Source organism: Homo sapiens, chromosome 12, assembly GCF_000001405.40.
Source record: "Homo sapiens chromosome 12, GRCh38.p14 Primary Assembly".
Taxonomy (NCBI): domain Eukaryota; kingdom Metazoa; phylum Chordata; class Mammalia; order Primates; family Hominidae; genus Homo; species Homo sapiens.
Window position 1 is genome coordinate 17741121 of NC_000012.12, and position 16832 is coordinate 17757952.

Here is a 16832-nt window from a genome sequence, read left to right on the forward strand (position 1 = left end):
TGAATAAAAATGTAGATTCAATGGTAGCCTATAGTCAATTAGATCAAAATGCCAGAACTTCTCTGCCATTATGAAAAAAAAAAATCCAAAGACTAAGACAATAAGAATGCTATTTATTTATTTATTTATTTATTTATTTTTTTTTTCTTTTTTTTTTTTTTTTTATTATACTCTAAGTTTTAGGGTACATGTGCACATTGTGCAGGTTAGTTACATATGTATACATGTGCCATGCTGGTGCACTGCACCCACTAATGTGTCATCTAGCATTAGGTATATCTCCCAATGCTATCCCTCCCCCCTCCCCCGACCCCACCACAGTCCCCAGAGTGTGTGCTATTTAGAGTTATTAAGTTGTACCCATTCATTCTCTCCCACTACCACTTTCCACTAACTTTGCTAACCAGAGGGCCCAGAGGACTCTTCCTTACAAATACATTGAGAAACACACTAATCTGGGAGTACCATCAGCTTAAAAAATTACTTATCTATATTACGGGAAAATTTTTTAGTCTGGTTAGCAAAAATCCCACTGGGGTAACTACAATTGGAAGTAATTATCTGTCACTCATTTTCCAGGTCTAAACCAATTCATACATTGGTTCAATACAATACAATTCAACACATACTGTGTTGAAATACAGTTCTCCATGGGGTCCCTCATTTTTTGGCAAGTCTTTTGAGCAGAGACATAGACAACTTTTGTTTTGGATCTTTATTAAGATGTTTATAAGACAAGCAACACTGAAAGATAAGTAAAGTCTCCTCTAGGACAGACGGAGATATTTTTCCCCATAATAAAGATAATGTCTTTTTCTGGGGCAAAGGTTGGGCAGGTTTGCTTGCAACCCATTGTGAAAGATTGGGGTATTTTAAGTTTGGTGTTTTTTAGTTGAGATGCAAACCCACTGCAGGCAAAGCATCTATGTTGGTGGCTCTGCAATGCTCTGTGGGAACTGTGGGCAAGGGAAACCAATGCAGATATTAAACTTATGTTTTCTGCCTGTCTTTGAGTAATAAAATTATTTTTCCCTGATTCAGGAGTCTCTTGTCTTTTGCCAACATCCATGAAACTTTAGCAATTTAAATTATGAGCTTGCAAACAGGATACAAACTTTGATTCCTCACATTGCTTGGCAACCTGAGATTTCTGTGATTGAAATGAGCGCTCAGTTCTCTTGATAAAAGGGTATATAGGTTATATGCTGCAAGTCTTCCTTTGATTATTTATAGGTTACCAGAGGGCTTATGGTGATGAGGTGCTAAGTAGAATTTTGGCCCAGGTGAATCTTGGAGTAGGCCCAGTAAATTCTCAAACCACCATATATATATATATATATATATATATATATATATATATATATATATATATATATATATATATGTTTTCAGTTCATTAATGCCTCATTGACATTGTTATTTGGAAACCTGCAGAATCCTCATATTGGTCCCCCGACCTGACAGGGCTGTAGATGGCAAGAAAAACTAAGGGTAAATTCTTATCACAGCATCTTATTATCAAATAGCAAACCGTATGTGTCACATTCTTGAGATAATTGCACCAATTTGTACCATTAAAAAAGACTTGAAAGATGCAGGAATATGGATTCAAATAATATTATAATGTAAGCTGTTGTTCAGAGGTGCAAAACCAAATAGATCTTTAACAATGAAAATCAACGTAAACTGAAATCTGGAGGTCATTGATATATTGGAGCAAATTCATTTCTCTATTAAGCAAATTTTTAAAAACCAATTGTTAAGTAGGGCCATTAATATACCTTCAATGACATACATTCATGCTTTATCAGAATTCGTGCTTTCTGACAATATTAACTAAATATATCTGAATATACATCTATTATGGGTTGAATTATGTCTTGGAAAAATATATGTTGAAGTCCCAGTTCTCAGTTCAACAGAATGTGATATTATTTGGAAATAAGATCATTGCAGGTTAATTAGTTATATTAATTAGTTAATTAGTTATATTAATATAGTTAATTAGTTAATGAGGTTATACCGAAGTCAAGTGGTCCTCGGCCAATATGACTGGTGTCCCTGTAAGAAGACAGCCATGTGAAGACAGAGTCACAGGCAGAACTTGATGTGAAGATGGAGGCAGAGATGTGATGCATTTATAAGCCCAGAAATCCCAAGGAGTGCCAGCTAATACCAGAAGCTAGAAAAAAAAGGCATGGTCTAGATTTTCCCTTGGTGCCCTTGTAAGGAACCAATCCTACCCTCTACCAACATCGTGACTTCTAGCTTTGAAACGTGTGAGGCAATAAATTTCCATTGTTTTAAGCCACTATTTTGTGGTACTTTGTTATCTCAGCTCGAGGATACTAATGCACAACCTCACAGAATTTCAAGCTGATTTACTCTTTTAAGGAGCTCATGCTACTCAGACTTGTTGAGCAGGAAGCAGCACATACTCTAAGATGCTTTAATAAGACGCTTATATGACAATAAAATCCAAAAACATCAAGAGATAGGCACATTGATGTAGTTTTTGGTGAAACAGTTTGATTAAGGTGAAGCATGGAAGCTGACAAGTATTGGAAATATTGTAATTTATATTATAAATTTATATAAGAATTTATACAAGAATTTTATGAGAATTTATATTCTTACATAAAAAAAGAAAATTGATCTTATTTTTTACAACAGTGTATTCTTTTTAGAATACAGTTTTTTCATACATTAGTTCTATTTCTTATGTTTCTATTACTTTTTTAATACTTACTATTTTACTTTATTTTTGAGACGTACATATACATATTTTTAAAGGCACTGACCTAATTGACACGGCAACGAGACTGTCAAAGAATATTTAAAAAAAACACTGGCCAGGTGCTGTGGGTCACACCTGCAATCCCACCACCCTGGGAGGCAGAGGCGGGTGGATCACCTGAGGTCAGGAGTTCAACCAGCCTGGCCAACAGAGCAAAACACTGCCTCTACTAAAAATACAAAAATTAGCCAGGTGTGGTGCATACCTATAGTCCCACCTACTTGGGAGGCTGAAGCAGGAGAATCACCTGAGCCTATTTCTATACTAGACTAAGAGATTGTAATATTCTAAAATATTAACCATACTTTCCTATTAAGTAATAAACAATACTTACTATATGCTTGGTGTTTAACTTTTTAGATTAAACAAGTATTTTAATGTTTCAAGGATTTCTATTATGTATACAAGTAATTAATACTTGTTGATGAGTTGTTTCTACTTTCAAGTTTTAAAGGTATTAAGGTTGAAATATTATAAAAGGATTGCAAAATTTATGCAATAAAGCAGACATTTTTATAAAAGAAAGGATGGAAGATTTAAGTAAGATATTGAAAGGCACATTTACAAATGTAAACAGTTGTATCTGAGAAGAGTTTGTAGGTATGTGACTGTCTGAGAGTGTTGGGTCCAAACCTAAGCAAAGTATTTATCCTGGCAGAATCTCTTTGCCTCTTATTATGGCCTGAAAGCAGCACTTTAAAATCCTCTGTAGGTTTGTAAGAGGTCACTCTCTCCTCGACTTTCAAGTAGGACAAGAGAAAGCAAGTTCTAAAGAACAGGTTGACCCCTGACCCTGAAAACATCACTGTACTGATGATTAGGAACAGAAGTTGTTTCTTTTCAGGGAAGAAAATACTTCTTTTGGTATCCTCATTTTATTTTTCCTGGAGGCAAACCTAGATCAAATTTTGAGAAATCTATAACTCTGTAATTCTATTATTTAAATTCCAATTATAAAGGTAGAATAGATTAGGTAGAGAAATGTCATTCCTTGCTCAGGGCTACATTAGAAATCCCTGTCACAGGTAGAATTGGAACACAAGCCTCTCCCACAGTATTAACAGTCACATTTCTATCTATCACATTCTTTTACTTACCTAAAACAGCTTTTTTGCATTTTTAAATAATACATATATTTTAAAGGGTAAAACCTACCGATGTATAATCTCATTTTCCATGTCTTATAAGCCAGACCGCTCTCCACAGTCTCATAAATGATGAGAAAAATTCTTCAAATCATGATACCATGAATTTATTGTCCTCAAAAGAAGGATTCCTCATGCTAAAAGCAGGTGCACCGGTGTGAATATGTGGCTGTCCCATATTGAGGAGCCATATATTTCACAGTTAGGCTCTACACAGAGAAATAAACAGCCATATGGCAAACAAACTTACTTTTTACTGCTTCATTTTATTTGTTTCAAAATAGTGCAGTGCCACAAATCCAGAATATTAACAACGCTCCATCTGGAGAAATGTAAGTTTTGGAGCCCTGAACCAGCACGTTAGCATTCCCACAAAACTTCCGATCTTCAATCCACTGCAAACTTGGAACCAGCTTTATGTCAACCCAGCATGTCTTTCTAATGCAATGCTAGTGGCTCAATTAAAATGTTTATAAAATGAAAAAAAAAAAAAACCTTAATTCTGGAAAGATTTTAAAAGTCGGCCTGCTTGCATACACGTCTAATAGACTGTGTTACAATGTTTATTAATAAATATCTTTGTAAATGTAGTTAGCTTTATCTCTATTTTGCAAATGAGAAAAAGGAACATAGAACTGCCTGGATACAAATGTCTGATCTGCATTTAGAAACCTAGCTTTTTAGATTAGAAATAAATGACTGATGCTTGCTTCACTAGTTCAACAAAAATTTATTTATGTTTTCTAGGCAGAGTACAGGATAACAAAATGAACAAAAGGTGGCTTACCATCTCAGGAAATTTTACTTAACATAAATATTTATAATAGATTGCAGAGGATCCAATTTCTGTCCGATACATGCTTTATTCAATGATAAGTTAAAGGCACTAATTGGTGGCTATGTAGTTCTTTTATTTTTTTTTTATTTTCTTTTTTTTTATTTCTTTTTTTTTTTTTTTTTTTTTGAGACGGAGTCTCACTCTGCCGCCCAGGCTGGAGTGCAGTGGTGCCATCTCGGCTCACTGCAAGCTCCACCTCCCGGGTTCACGCCATTCTCCTGCCTCAGCCTCCCGAGTAGCTGGGACTACAGGCTTCGGCCACCAAGCCTGGAGAATTTTTTTGTATTTTTACTAGAGACGAGGTTTCACCGTGTTAGCCAGGATGGTCTCGATCTCCTGACCTCGTGATCCACCCGCCTCGGCCTCCCAAAGTGCTGGGATTACAGGCGTGAGCCACGGCTATGTATCTCTTTACTTGCCTATTGGAAAGAAGAATGTGGAAGTTACAGAATTAGGGCAGGAAAATAAGTAACTATCAAATGAAATTCAGGGTTATTATTTAGGAAAAGCCCTAGCGCATATTGTCATATTGTTAAATATGCTAACATATATAGTAGTATATATGTGTATATATATACACACACACACATATATATGCTAGTATATATATATGTTAGTATGTATGCTAGCTAGTATATATATATATATATATATATATATATATAGCCTAGGTATGTTTTATATATGTATATATATATATAATATATATATATGTTTTTGTTTTGGTTTGAAATATTTTAAAGATATTAATTGTAAAGAATTACCAACAATGCATAAAATATACACATAATTTGATAGATGTTTGAAAATGAATGTGCATGTAACAATCTGTTCATGTGCTTGTACCTGTAACATAGGTTCAGAAATAGAACATTGGCAGCAATGCAGAGCCGCTGTGTGTCCCCTTTTTTTTTTTTTTTTTTTGAGACAGAGTCTCACTCTGTCTTCCAGGCTGGAGTGAAGTGGCGCAATCTTGGCTCACTGCAACATCCGCCTCCCTGGTGCAAGCGATTCTCATGCTTCAGCCACCATGTAGCTGGGATTACGGGTGTACGCCACCACGTCCTGCTAATTTTTGTATTTTTAGTAGAGACGGGGTTTCGCCATGTTGGCCAGGCTAGTGTGGAACTTCTGGCCTAAAGTGATCTGCCCACCTCAGACTCCCAAAATGCTGTGACTACAGGCGTGAGCCACTGAGCCCAGCCTGTCTATGTGTCCTTTTGTGATCCCAAACTTTTTTTTACAAAATGCCAGAAGGAAAAATTAAACTTATCATTATTTCCATGTTGTTTTATCTTATGTATCAGTACTTACATTTTCATTCCTAAATGATAGTTTAGTTCCCAGAATGACATTTTCCATAAATGTCAGATAGTAAATATTTTAGTCATTGCAGGTCATAGGTCTCTGTAACAGCTACTAGGCACTGCCATTGCAGTACAAAAATAGCCATAGAATGATAGGCAAAAGTATGAATGTATCTGTACACCGTACAACAACTTACAGAAACAGATGTAAGGCCAGATTTGATTCAGGGCCCATAGTTTCTGACTCCTACTTTGGTTTTCTCTGCTTTTCAGTTTTATATAAACATAATTAAATCTTACTATTTTTGGTTTTTAGCTTTTGTTTGTCTCACTTTTGTTTGTAAAATATGATCATTTAACTTGCAGTTTGTTCATTTTAATTGTCTTAATATTTCATTGTATGAATATTCCATAATTTGTTTTTCTCATTGTACTGTTGATGAATGTTTGAGTTGTTTAAAGTTTCTGGTTATTTTATTGCTGCTGTAAATTTTCTCATATAGGCATCCAAATCCACATGTGAGTGAATTTTAAAAGCATATATACTTATTAATATTATGAATATAATTATTGGGCCATAGGGTATGTGCAACTTCAAATATACTTGATAATGCCAGTCTATTTTCCAAAGTGGCAAAATTGACTGGCACTATTCACCAAAATGGTATATGGGTTCCATTTATTCCCTATCCTTATATATGTATTCAATTTGGGGTAGATTTTCTGTGAGCGCTTGAAAATACAGTTTGCATAATATATCATTTTTAATCCCATTACTTTTACTCATTTTGTATTTTGTATTTTATATTTGTCTCTTGTAAGTAACATGTTGTTGGTATTTTTTTTTCCAATATAAGCATGAGTATCACTAAATGGAACATTTAGTACATTCATCTGTAGTGCCATAGGTTCTTTGTTTATTTTATTTCACCTGTTTTGCTCAGCTTCTAGTAATTTTAAGTTTGGGAGAATAAGAGTATCTAATTCTTGCTCATGTTTAAAAAAGAGTGGTCACTTTATTTCTAGGTTATTGTCAAGAGGGCTTCCTAAGATGTTGAATTTTTGTCTCACTTTGAACCTTGATGTAAACTATGGGTAAATGCCCTCAAGACAAAAGATACTTTATTTCTTTGATTTAATACTTATCTCTCTAGGTAAGTTTATCCTCTTGTTTTGGCCTAGACTCTTTCTATCATCAGTTTAACTATGCAATGCTGTTTAGAACTGTTTTTAATATTTTATCTAGAATTTTTCTTTTTTTTTTTTTTTGGCAGTTTGATTCAAATAATCCTGTCAATTATCACTGGAAAAAAAAACAAAGTCCAGAGAAAAACCTTATATGTAAATTTTAGTAGGTATATGGTAACCATGGGAAAAATTAGAAAAAAAATTATACAATTTATGATATAAACTATAAAAGGAGTTCAATATATTCTTCATTTATCAAAATGAAATAATGAGAAAATTTTCCATAGGTTACTAATAAGCCCAAGGAGATTACAAAATTAAAAACTCAAGAAAAACAAAATAAGTGTTGGAAAGTTGTGGAGTACAATAAAATTGCTACTTGTTTACTTACAAGAAAAAAATTATTAAAAATAAGGCCAGCTTTGAGTTCCCCTGAACGTGCCTAAACATGTTAGAAAGAAGTACCCAGATCTAGTCTCAACTTTCCTCAGAATTTCTTTTCGTTGGAAAAAACTAAGAGAAAATTTCCCAGTGAGAACTTTGTATTGATCTTTGGCAAGTACACTAGGTAAAATCCATATGGAGCAAGAAATAGGTGAGCTTTGTAAAAATATGTAAGGCAAAATATGGAATATTATCCATACTAATACCAAACATATAAATAATTAAAATATTTACTAATCAAGATACTAACACCAAGCATATAAATAATTGAAATATATTTATCACATAAATATTAACATTATTTTCAACAAATAGGGAAAGGGAACCTGACAAATCCATGGTCCTCAAGGCAATTTAATTTGGATGTTCCATGATGTGTGAGGAAGGGAGTGGTAGTAAAAGAGCCTGGGCAATTAGGTGAAGGCAGATACAATTAGAAGGTCATTTAGAAAGTTTAGTTTTGGTAGTTAGAGGTCTGTCTGAGACTGAAGGAATGAAAGCTAGTTAAATGTCATTGTTCCAGAGAGTTAAGGAGAGCTGCACAGGAATGAAGCTGAAAGAACGTGTTTCTTCACAAAGCAGATAAAATCAAGTTTAGTTTCCTCAAAAACCTACAGAGGAGAAAGAGAAAATAGACAATCAACTCCCATGGCTGAAATTATCTAGAGATACCACTCTGTTCTTAAAGCACCTGTGAATCTTCCTCTTTTGGCTTAAGCAGAGTTACTTGGAGAAGAGGCTATATCGATCATTGGTCCCCAAGACGAATGAAGACAAATTCAACAGCAGTGTAAAACTAGAAGAGAATACTATGATTACTTAAGAACAACAGAAAAAAAATGGACCACTTTTGTTAGTTAAGATAAACCTAAGTTGAAGAGTTAAGGAATAGTTTACGGAATCACCAAGCTGAAAAAAGGACAGGATTGTGCTAAACCTCAGGAACACATGGACTAGAGGTGCAAACTCTATTAAGACCCACATTCTCTAGACTTTGCTTTTTCTCTGCATGATGGTTACCTTTTCCATTCTAGACATGGCTAAAAAACCAGGCCTTTAAAGTCCTCCAATCTTTACATCTTACAACTTTGATATCTGGGAAAAGGATTGTCTCACCTCATTCGGCCCCACTCTTAAAATCCAGGGAAAGGAACTGGCATGTGGGAGCATAGAAAAACATTTTCTATATGGATAAAGAAATTGTATTTAAGAACAATGTGGGAGAAGTGGGTGCAGTGACAGACATACAGGCCTGTAAATATTTACCACACAAAAATCCCTCATAATTAGCGTGCTAACTCATGAGGTTGGGTTTGTAATACTCTAACTAAAGGTCAAACAATAAACAACTGATATTATTTAACAGCTTACTATGTGCCACATTTTCTGAGAGTTTCAGATTTTTCATCTCATTTACTCTTAATAGAAATCCTAGGCAATAGAAACGATTCGTATCACACTTTGAAAATGAAAACAAACAAAGACACTGAGAGGTTAAATAACTTGTCAAAGGTCACATAACTGTGAGGCTAACATTTTAACTCAGGTAGTAAAATGTGTGAATTAAAAGGAAAGATACAAGCATTTTGTCAGTCTAAGAAGGATATTTTTGTCAGATGATTCTCTGCAATGTTTGACCATAGGTACAAAACTATTGGATAATCTTATGCAGGTATTAAACAATTGAAATGAGGAAATTTTCGAAACCTTTCTGCTATTTAGCTCTGGGTTTTTGAAACACTGAAACATAAGACTAGAATTAGAGTAAAACTAACACATTTTTAAAGTAACAGATATAAGTTTAATAGATGTAATTTACTAAGTAAAAGAGTCAAAATTCCATTATCACAAAAATGAACAATGATTTCCTGAAGTAAAAGCTGATGAGAGGCACTCATTTGATGTCCAGCACTTTGCCCGTTGTTCCTCCCATTGTAAACGCAGGCATACACAATTATGAAGGAAATAAGCTGAGACATTTACAAGTACAGGAAATTTGCATCCACCATATATATTAAGGAAATAAACTATTAAAAACCTATAATCTAAAGGAATTTCAGACAAATGCACTACATTTGTCTGGATTAAAGAGGAACATCCATGATAGGTACACAAATCATCTCCCTCTTTTCAAAAATTCAAATATACTTAAGCCTCACTAATTCCTTGGGTGTGAAAAGTTGGTGAACTATGGAGAGGTGTGTCAGAAATAGATAGTATATGCCAATACCTTCTTGGTAAGAATGAAGGCAGAAAAAATTAAAGGTAAACTATTATAAATAATCAAATAAATGAAGATATCTACTAAAGCATTCAAAGTACACAATTACAAAATCAGTCTTGTGGTGTGAATGATGAAGAAAAAATTCATGACAGAAGAAATCTGAATGGAAGGATGAATTAGCATTTGGATATGTATACTTTATCATTTTAATAAGCTAAATAAATAATCCGTATCTGATTATTTTTATATATACCAAAAGTTGTTTCATAAAATGTATTCTTCCCGTAATGTGGAGAGGGGAATAGAGAGGGGTTAGTTAATGAGTACAAAATTATGGTTAGAAGAAATAAGATATAGTGTTAAATAGCACAACAGGGCAACTAGAGTTAACAATATTGTGTATTTCAAAATAATTAAAAGAGTTAAACTGAAATGCTGCTAATACAAAGATATGACAAATGTTTAAGATGATCAGTATCCCAATTACCTTATCATTACGCATTGTATGCTTGTATCAAAATGTCACATATGACCCATAAATATGAAAAATGTTATTTATTAAATATAAAATAAATTATTCCCAAGAAAAATGTTTATAAGGTAAGGTAGATACAAAAAGTTATTAATTATACACATACACACAAACACATGCACACAGGTACTGAATATGTACACTGGGCAGTTTCAAGGCAAGATGTGGGATCTTATTTTCTGTTAATTAGCTCTTAGTAGAAGTTTATACATTACAAAATAAGCAATAAATAAGCAAAAACGTAGTATGTATGGAAAAATTATAAATTGAATTAAAATGTCATCAATATTGAAGATTTAGAAATTAAGAAATTAAGAAAGCCTTGGAAAATTGTCTACTAAATACTTTAGACAGAAACATTGGAAAAGTTTACACTTATCATTAGAAGAAAGCAAAATAACCTGGCCTCTATCAAATAGGATTGGGAACACAGTAAAATATAACAGAATGAGCTGAAAACAAACACAAAATTTAGGTCAGGAATATTAAAAACATTTATTGGGTTTTTAAATTTTTTATATATAAAGGTGCATAATAGTTGTTTATACTTATGGGATCCATGTGGTATTTAGAGACAAGCATAAAAGGTATAATGGTCAAGTCAGAGTAATTGAGATAGCCATCACCTTACATTTTTGGAATTTATTTGTGTGAGAAACATTCTAAATTAACTCCTCTAGCTATTTTGAAATGTACAATTGATTAGTTTCAATTTTTCATCTACCTACTCATCTACCTCGCTATACACTAATTGTGTATTTTTGTACCCATTAATCAAACCCTCTTTATCCCTTCCTCCCCATTATCCTTCTGTGCTTCTGTTAACCACCATTCTACCATGTACTATCATGAGATCAATTCTTTATCTACCACACATGAATGAGAACATATGATACTTGTTTTTCTATGCTTGGCTTACTTTATTTAAGGTAATGTCTCCCAGTTCCATTCATGTTGTTGCAAATGATATAATTTCATTCTAATAAAATCATGAATATTCTATTGTTTATATGTACCATATTTTCTTTATTCAGTCATCATTGATGGACACATACTTTTATTTCATATCTTAGCTATTATGAATATTGCTGTAATAAACATGGGAATACAGATGTCTCATCAATATACTGATTTAGTACCTTTCGGAAATATACCCAGCAGTGAGATTGCTGAATCATATGTTACTTCTATTTTTAGTTTTTTGCACAACATCTATTCTGTTCTTCATAGTAGCTGTACTAATATACGTTCCTACCAAGAGTGTACAAGGCTTCCCTTTTCTCTGCATCCTCACCAGCATCAGTTTTTTTGTGTGTCTTTATAATAAAAGCCACTTTAGCTATGGGGAAATGATTTATCATTGTGATTTTAATTTGCATTTCTCTGATTATTAGTGATGAGCAATTTTTTAAAAATATACCTGTTGGTCATTTGTATGTCTTCTTTTGAGAATTGCCTATTAAAATGTTTTATCCATTTTTTAAATCAGAATATTTTTTGCTATTGAGTTGTATGAGTTTTCCATGCAGAAGCTTTTTAGCTTTATGTGATCCCATTCATCTATTTTTGCTTTGATTGACTATGCTTAGTCAAGGAATCTTTGTCCATGCTAAGATCCTGAAGCCTTTTCCCAATGTTTGCTTCTAGGAATTTTATAGTTTCTTGTGTCACATTTCAGTTTTAAATTCATTTTGATTTGATTTTTTAATATGGTGAGAAATGGTGGTCTACTTTCATTCTTCTGAATATAAACATCTTGTTTTACCAAAACCATTTGTTGAATAGAGTGTCCTTACCCTCGTTGTATGTTCTTGGCACCTTTGTTGAAAATGATGTAACTGTGAATATATGGATTTATTTCGGATTCTCTCTTCAATTCTATTGTTCTGTGTGTCTGTTTCTGGGCCAGTAACAACAGCTTTAGTTACTATAGCTTTGCATTATAATATAAAGTCATGTAATATCAAGATTCCAGGTTCATTATTTTGCTCAGGATGGCTTTGGTTATTCTGGATCTTTTCGGTTTCATATAAATTTTAGGAATTTTGTTATATTTCTGTGTAGAACACCTTTGGTACATCAGCAGCAATTACATTGAACATGTATATTGTTTTGGGTAGTATAGACATTTTTAAAATATTGATTCTTCCACTTCATGAACATGAGATATATTTTCATTTTTTATGTCCTCTTCAATTTATATCATCTATGTTTTATGAGTTTTTTTTGTAGAGATCTTTAACTTCTGTAGTTAAGGTTATTCCTACATATTCTTAGTAGGTATTGTAAATGGAATTACATAAAAGCTAAAAGATTTCTTTTTCAGATTGTTTGCTCTTGGCATATAGAAATGCTACTGATTTTTCCTCTCTTCCTATTTGAATACCCTTTATTTCTTTCTCTTGCCTGATTTCTCCAGCCAGAACTTCCAATAGTATGTTGAATAGGAGTGGGGAGAGAGGGCACCCTTGTCTTGTGCCAGTTTTCAAAGGGAATGCTTCCAGCTTTTGCCCTTTCAGTATGATATTGCCTATGGGTTTGTCATAAACAGCTCCTACTATTTTGAGATATGTTCCATCAATACAAGTTTATTGAGAGTTTTTAGCATGAAGAGGTGTTTAATTTTATCATAGGGTTTTTCTGCATCTATTGAGATAATCATGTGGTTTTTGTCGTTGGTTCTGTTTATATGACGGATTATGTTTATTGATTTGCATATGTTGAACCAGCCTTGCATCCCAGAGATGAAGCCGACTTGATCATGTTGGATAAGCTTTTTGATGTGCTCCTGGATTCGGTTTGCTAGTATTTTATTGAGGATTTTTGCATCGATGTTCATCAGCAACATTAGCCAGAAATTTTCTTTTTTTGATGTGTCTCTGCCAGGTTTTGGAATCAGGATGATGCTGGCCTCATAAAACAAGTTAGAGAGGAGTTACTCTTTTTCTGTTGTTTGGAATAGTTTCAGAAGGAATGGTACCAGCTCTTCTTTGTACGGATTCAGTTGTGAATTTGTCTGGTCCTGGGCTTTTTGGTTCATAGGCTATTAATTACTGCCTCAATTTCAGAACTTGTTATTGGTCTATTCAGGGATTTGACTTCTTCTTCTTCCTGATTTAGTCTTGGGGGGTGTATGTGTCCAGAAATGTATCCATTTCTTCTAGATTTTCTAGTTTATTTGCGTAGAGGTGTTTATAGTATTCTCTGATGGTGGTTTGTATTTCTGTGGGATCGGTGGTGATATACCCTTTATCTTTTTTTTTATTGTATCTATTTGATTCTTCTTTCTTTTCTTCTTTATTAGTCTGGCTAGCAGTGTATCTATTTTGTTAATCTTTTAAAAAACCGAGCTCCTGGATTCACTGATTTTTTTTGAAGGGTTATTCGTGTCTCCATCTCTTTCAGTTCTGCTCTGATCTTAGCAGAACTGTCTAAATAAGAACTTATTTCTTGTCTTCTGCTAGCTTTTGAATTTCTTTGCTTTTGCTTCTCTAGTTCTTTTAATTGTAATGTTAGGGTGTTGATTTTAGAACTTTCCTGCTTTCTGATGTGGGCATTTGGTGCTATAAATTTCCCTCTAGACGATGCTTAACTGTGTACCAGAGATTCTGGTACGTTGTCACTTCATTCTCATTGGTTTCGAAGAATTTTGTTATTTCTGCCTTAATTTTGCTGTTTACCAAGTAGTCACTCAGGAGCAGACTGCTCAGTTTCCATGTAGATGTGAGGTTTTGAGTGAGTTTCTTAATCCTGAGTTCTGATTTGATTGCAATGTGGTCTGAGAGGCTGTTTGTTACGATCTCTGTTCTTTTGCATTTGCTGAGGAGTGTTTTACTTCCAATTATGTGGTCGATTTTAGGATAAATGCAATGTGGTGCTGAGAAGAATGTATATTCTGTTGATTTGAGGTGGAAAGTTCTATAGATAGCTATTAGATACACCTGGTCCACAGCTGAGTTTAAGTCCTGTTTGCAGACAACATGATTGTGTATTTAGAAAACCTCATCATCTCAGCACAAAAACTCCTTAAGCTGATAAACAACTTCAGCAAAGTCTCAGGATACACAATCAATGTGCAAAAATCACAAGCATTTCTATACAACAATAATAGACAATCATTCTACTATAAAGACACATGCACACGTATGTTTGTTGCAGCACTATTTACAATAGCAAAGACTTGGAACCAAACCAAATGCTCCTTAATGACAGACAGACAGAAAGAAAATGTGGCACATATACACCATGGAATACTGTGCAGTCATTAAAAAGAATGAGTTCATGTAGTTTACAGGAACATGGATGAAGCTGGAAGCCATCATCCTCAGCAAACTAACACAGGAGCAGAAAACCAAACGCTGCCTGTTCACACTCATAAGCGGGAGCTGAACAATGAGAACACAGGGAGGGGAACATTACACACTGGGGCCTGTCAAGGGGTTGGGAAAAGGTTAGGGAGAGCATTAGAACAAACACCTAATGCATGTGGAGCTTAAAACCTAGATAATGGGTTGATAGGTGAAGCAAACCACCACGGCACATGTATACCTATGTAACAAACCTGCACATTCAGCACATGTATCCCAGAACTTCAAGTAAAATTTAAAAAAAGAAAGAAATGCTACTGATTTTTATATGTTTATTTTCTATCCCCGACCTTACTGAATTTGTTTATCAGTTCTAATAATTTTTGAAATAATCGTTTTTTCTAGTTATAACATCATATCATCCACAAACAAGGATAATTTGACTCCTCTCCTTCCAATTCTGATATTGTTTATTTCTTTCTCTTGTCTAATTGCTCTGGCTAGTACTTCTAGCACTATGTTGAATAAAGTGGTGAAAGTGAGCATCCTTGTCCTCTTCCTGATCTAAGAGAAAAGGCTTTCAGTTTTTCCTTGTTCAGAATAATACTAGCTTGGGTTTCTTTCGTATGACCTCTATTGTGTTAAGGTATGTTCCTTTTATTCCCAGTTTGTTGATAGTTTTTATAATGAAGAAACCAAATTTTACTAATTTTTTATGTTTATTAAAATTATCATATGGTTTTTGTCCATTGTGCTGAAGTGATGTATCACACTTATTGATTTGTGTATTTTGAACCATCCTTGCATCCCAGGGATAAATCTTACTTGGTTATGATAAATGATCTTTTAAATATTTCATTGAATTTAGTTTGCCAGTCTGCTAGGCTTTTTAAAATAATTTTTGAAACAATATTCATCAGAGATTTTACCCTGTTGTTTTTGTTATTGTTGTTGTTGTCTTTGTCTGGTTTTGGTATTAGGGTAATGCTGGCATCCTAGAATGAGGTGTTTTGTTTTGTTCTGTTTTTGAGAGACAGTCTTGCTCTGTCACCCAGGCTGGAGGGCAGTGTCGTAATCTTCGCTCACTGCAACCTCCGCCTCCCAGGTTCAAGCCGTTCTTCTGCCTCAGCCTCTCGAATAGCTGGGACTACAGGTGCACACCAGAACTCCGGGCTAATTTTTGTATTTTTAGTAGAGATGGGGTTTCACCATATTGGTCAGGCTTGTCTTGATCTTCTGACCTCATGATCTGCACACTGTGGCCTCCCAAAGTGTTTGGATTACAGGCGTGAGCCACCATGCTCGGCCCCTAGAATGAGTTTTTAATTCTCTCCTCTTCAATTTATTGCAATAATTTGATTAAGATTGGTATTAATTTTTCCTTAAATGTTTGGTAGAATTCAGTGATGAAGCCATCAGTGCTTGCCTGGGTTTTTCTTTGATGAGAAGCTTTCTTTTATTGTTTCTATCTGTTTTTTTTTTTTGGAGATGGAGTCTCGCTCTGTCACCCAGGCTGGAGTGCAGTGGTGTCATCTCGGCTCACTGCCAGCTCCACCTCCCAGGTTCACGCCATTCTCCTGCCTCAGCCTCCCGAGTAGCTGGGACTACAGGCGCCTGCCGCAACGCCCGGCTAATTTTTTGTATTTTTAGTAGAGACGGGGTTTCACCATGTTAGCCAGGATGGTCTTGATCTCCTGACCTCATGATCCACCTGCTTCGGCCTCCCAAAGTGCTGGGATTACAGGCGTGAGCCATCGCGACCGTCCTGTTGTATTACTTATAAATGTTTCTCTTACTTCCTCTGATTTTATTTGCATTTTTTCTCTTTTTTTCTTAGTCTGGCTAAAATTTATCAATTGTATCTTTTCACTATTGATTTTGTTTATCTTCCCTATGTTTTTGTCTCAGTTTTGCTTAGTTCCCTTTTGTGTTTATTATTTATTTCCTTCTACTAACTATGGGTATAGTTTTCTCTTGCTTTTCTGGTTCTTTAAAATGAATCATAAAGTTGTTTATTTGAAATTTTTCTACTATTTTGATCTAGGCATTT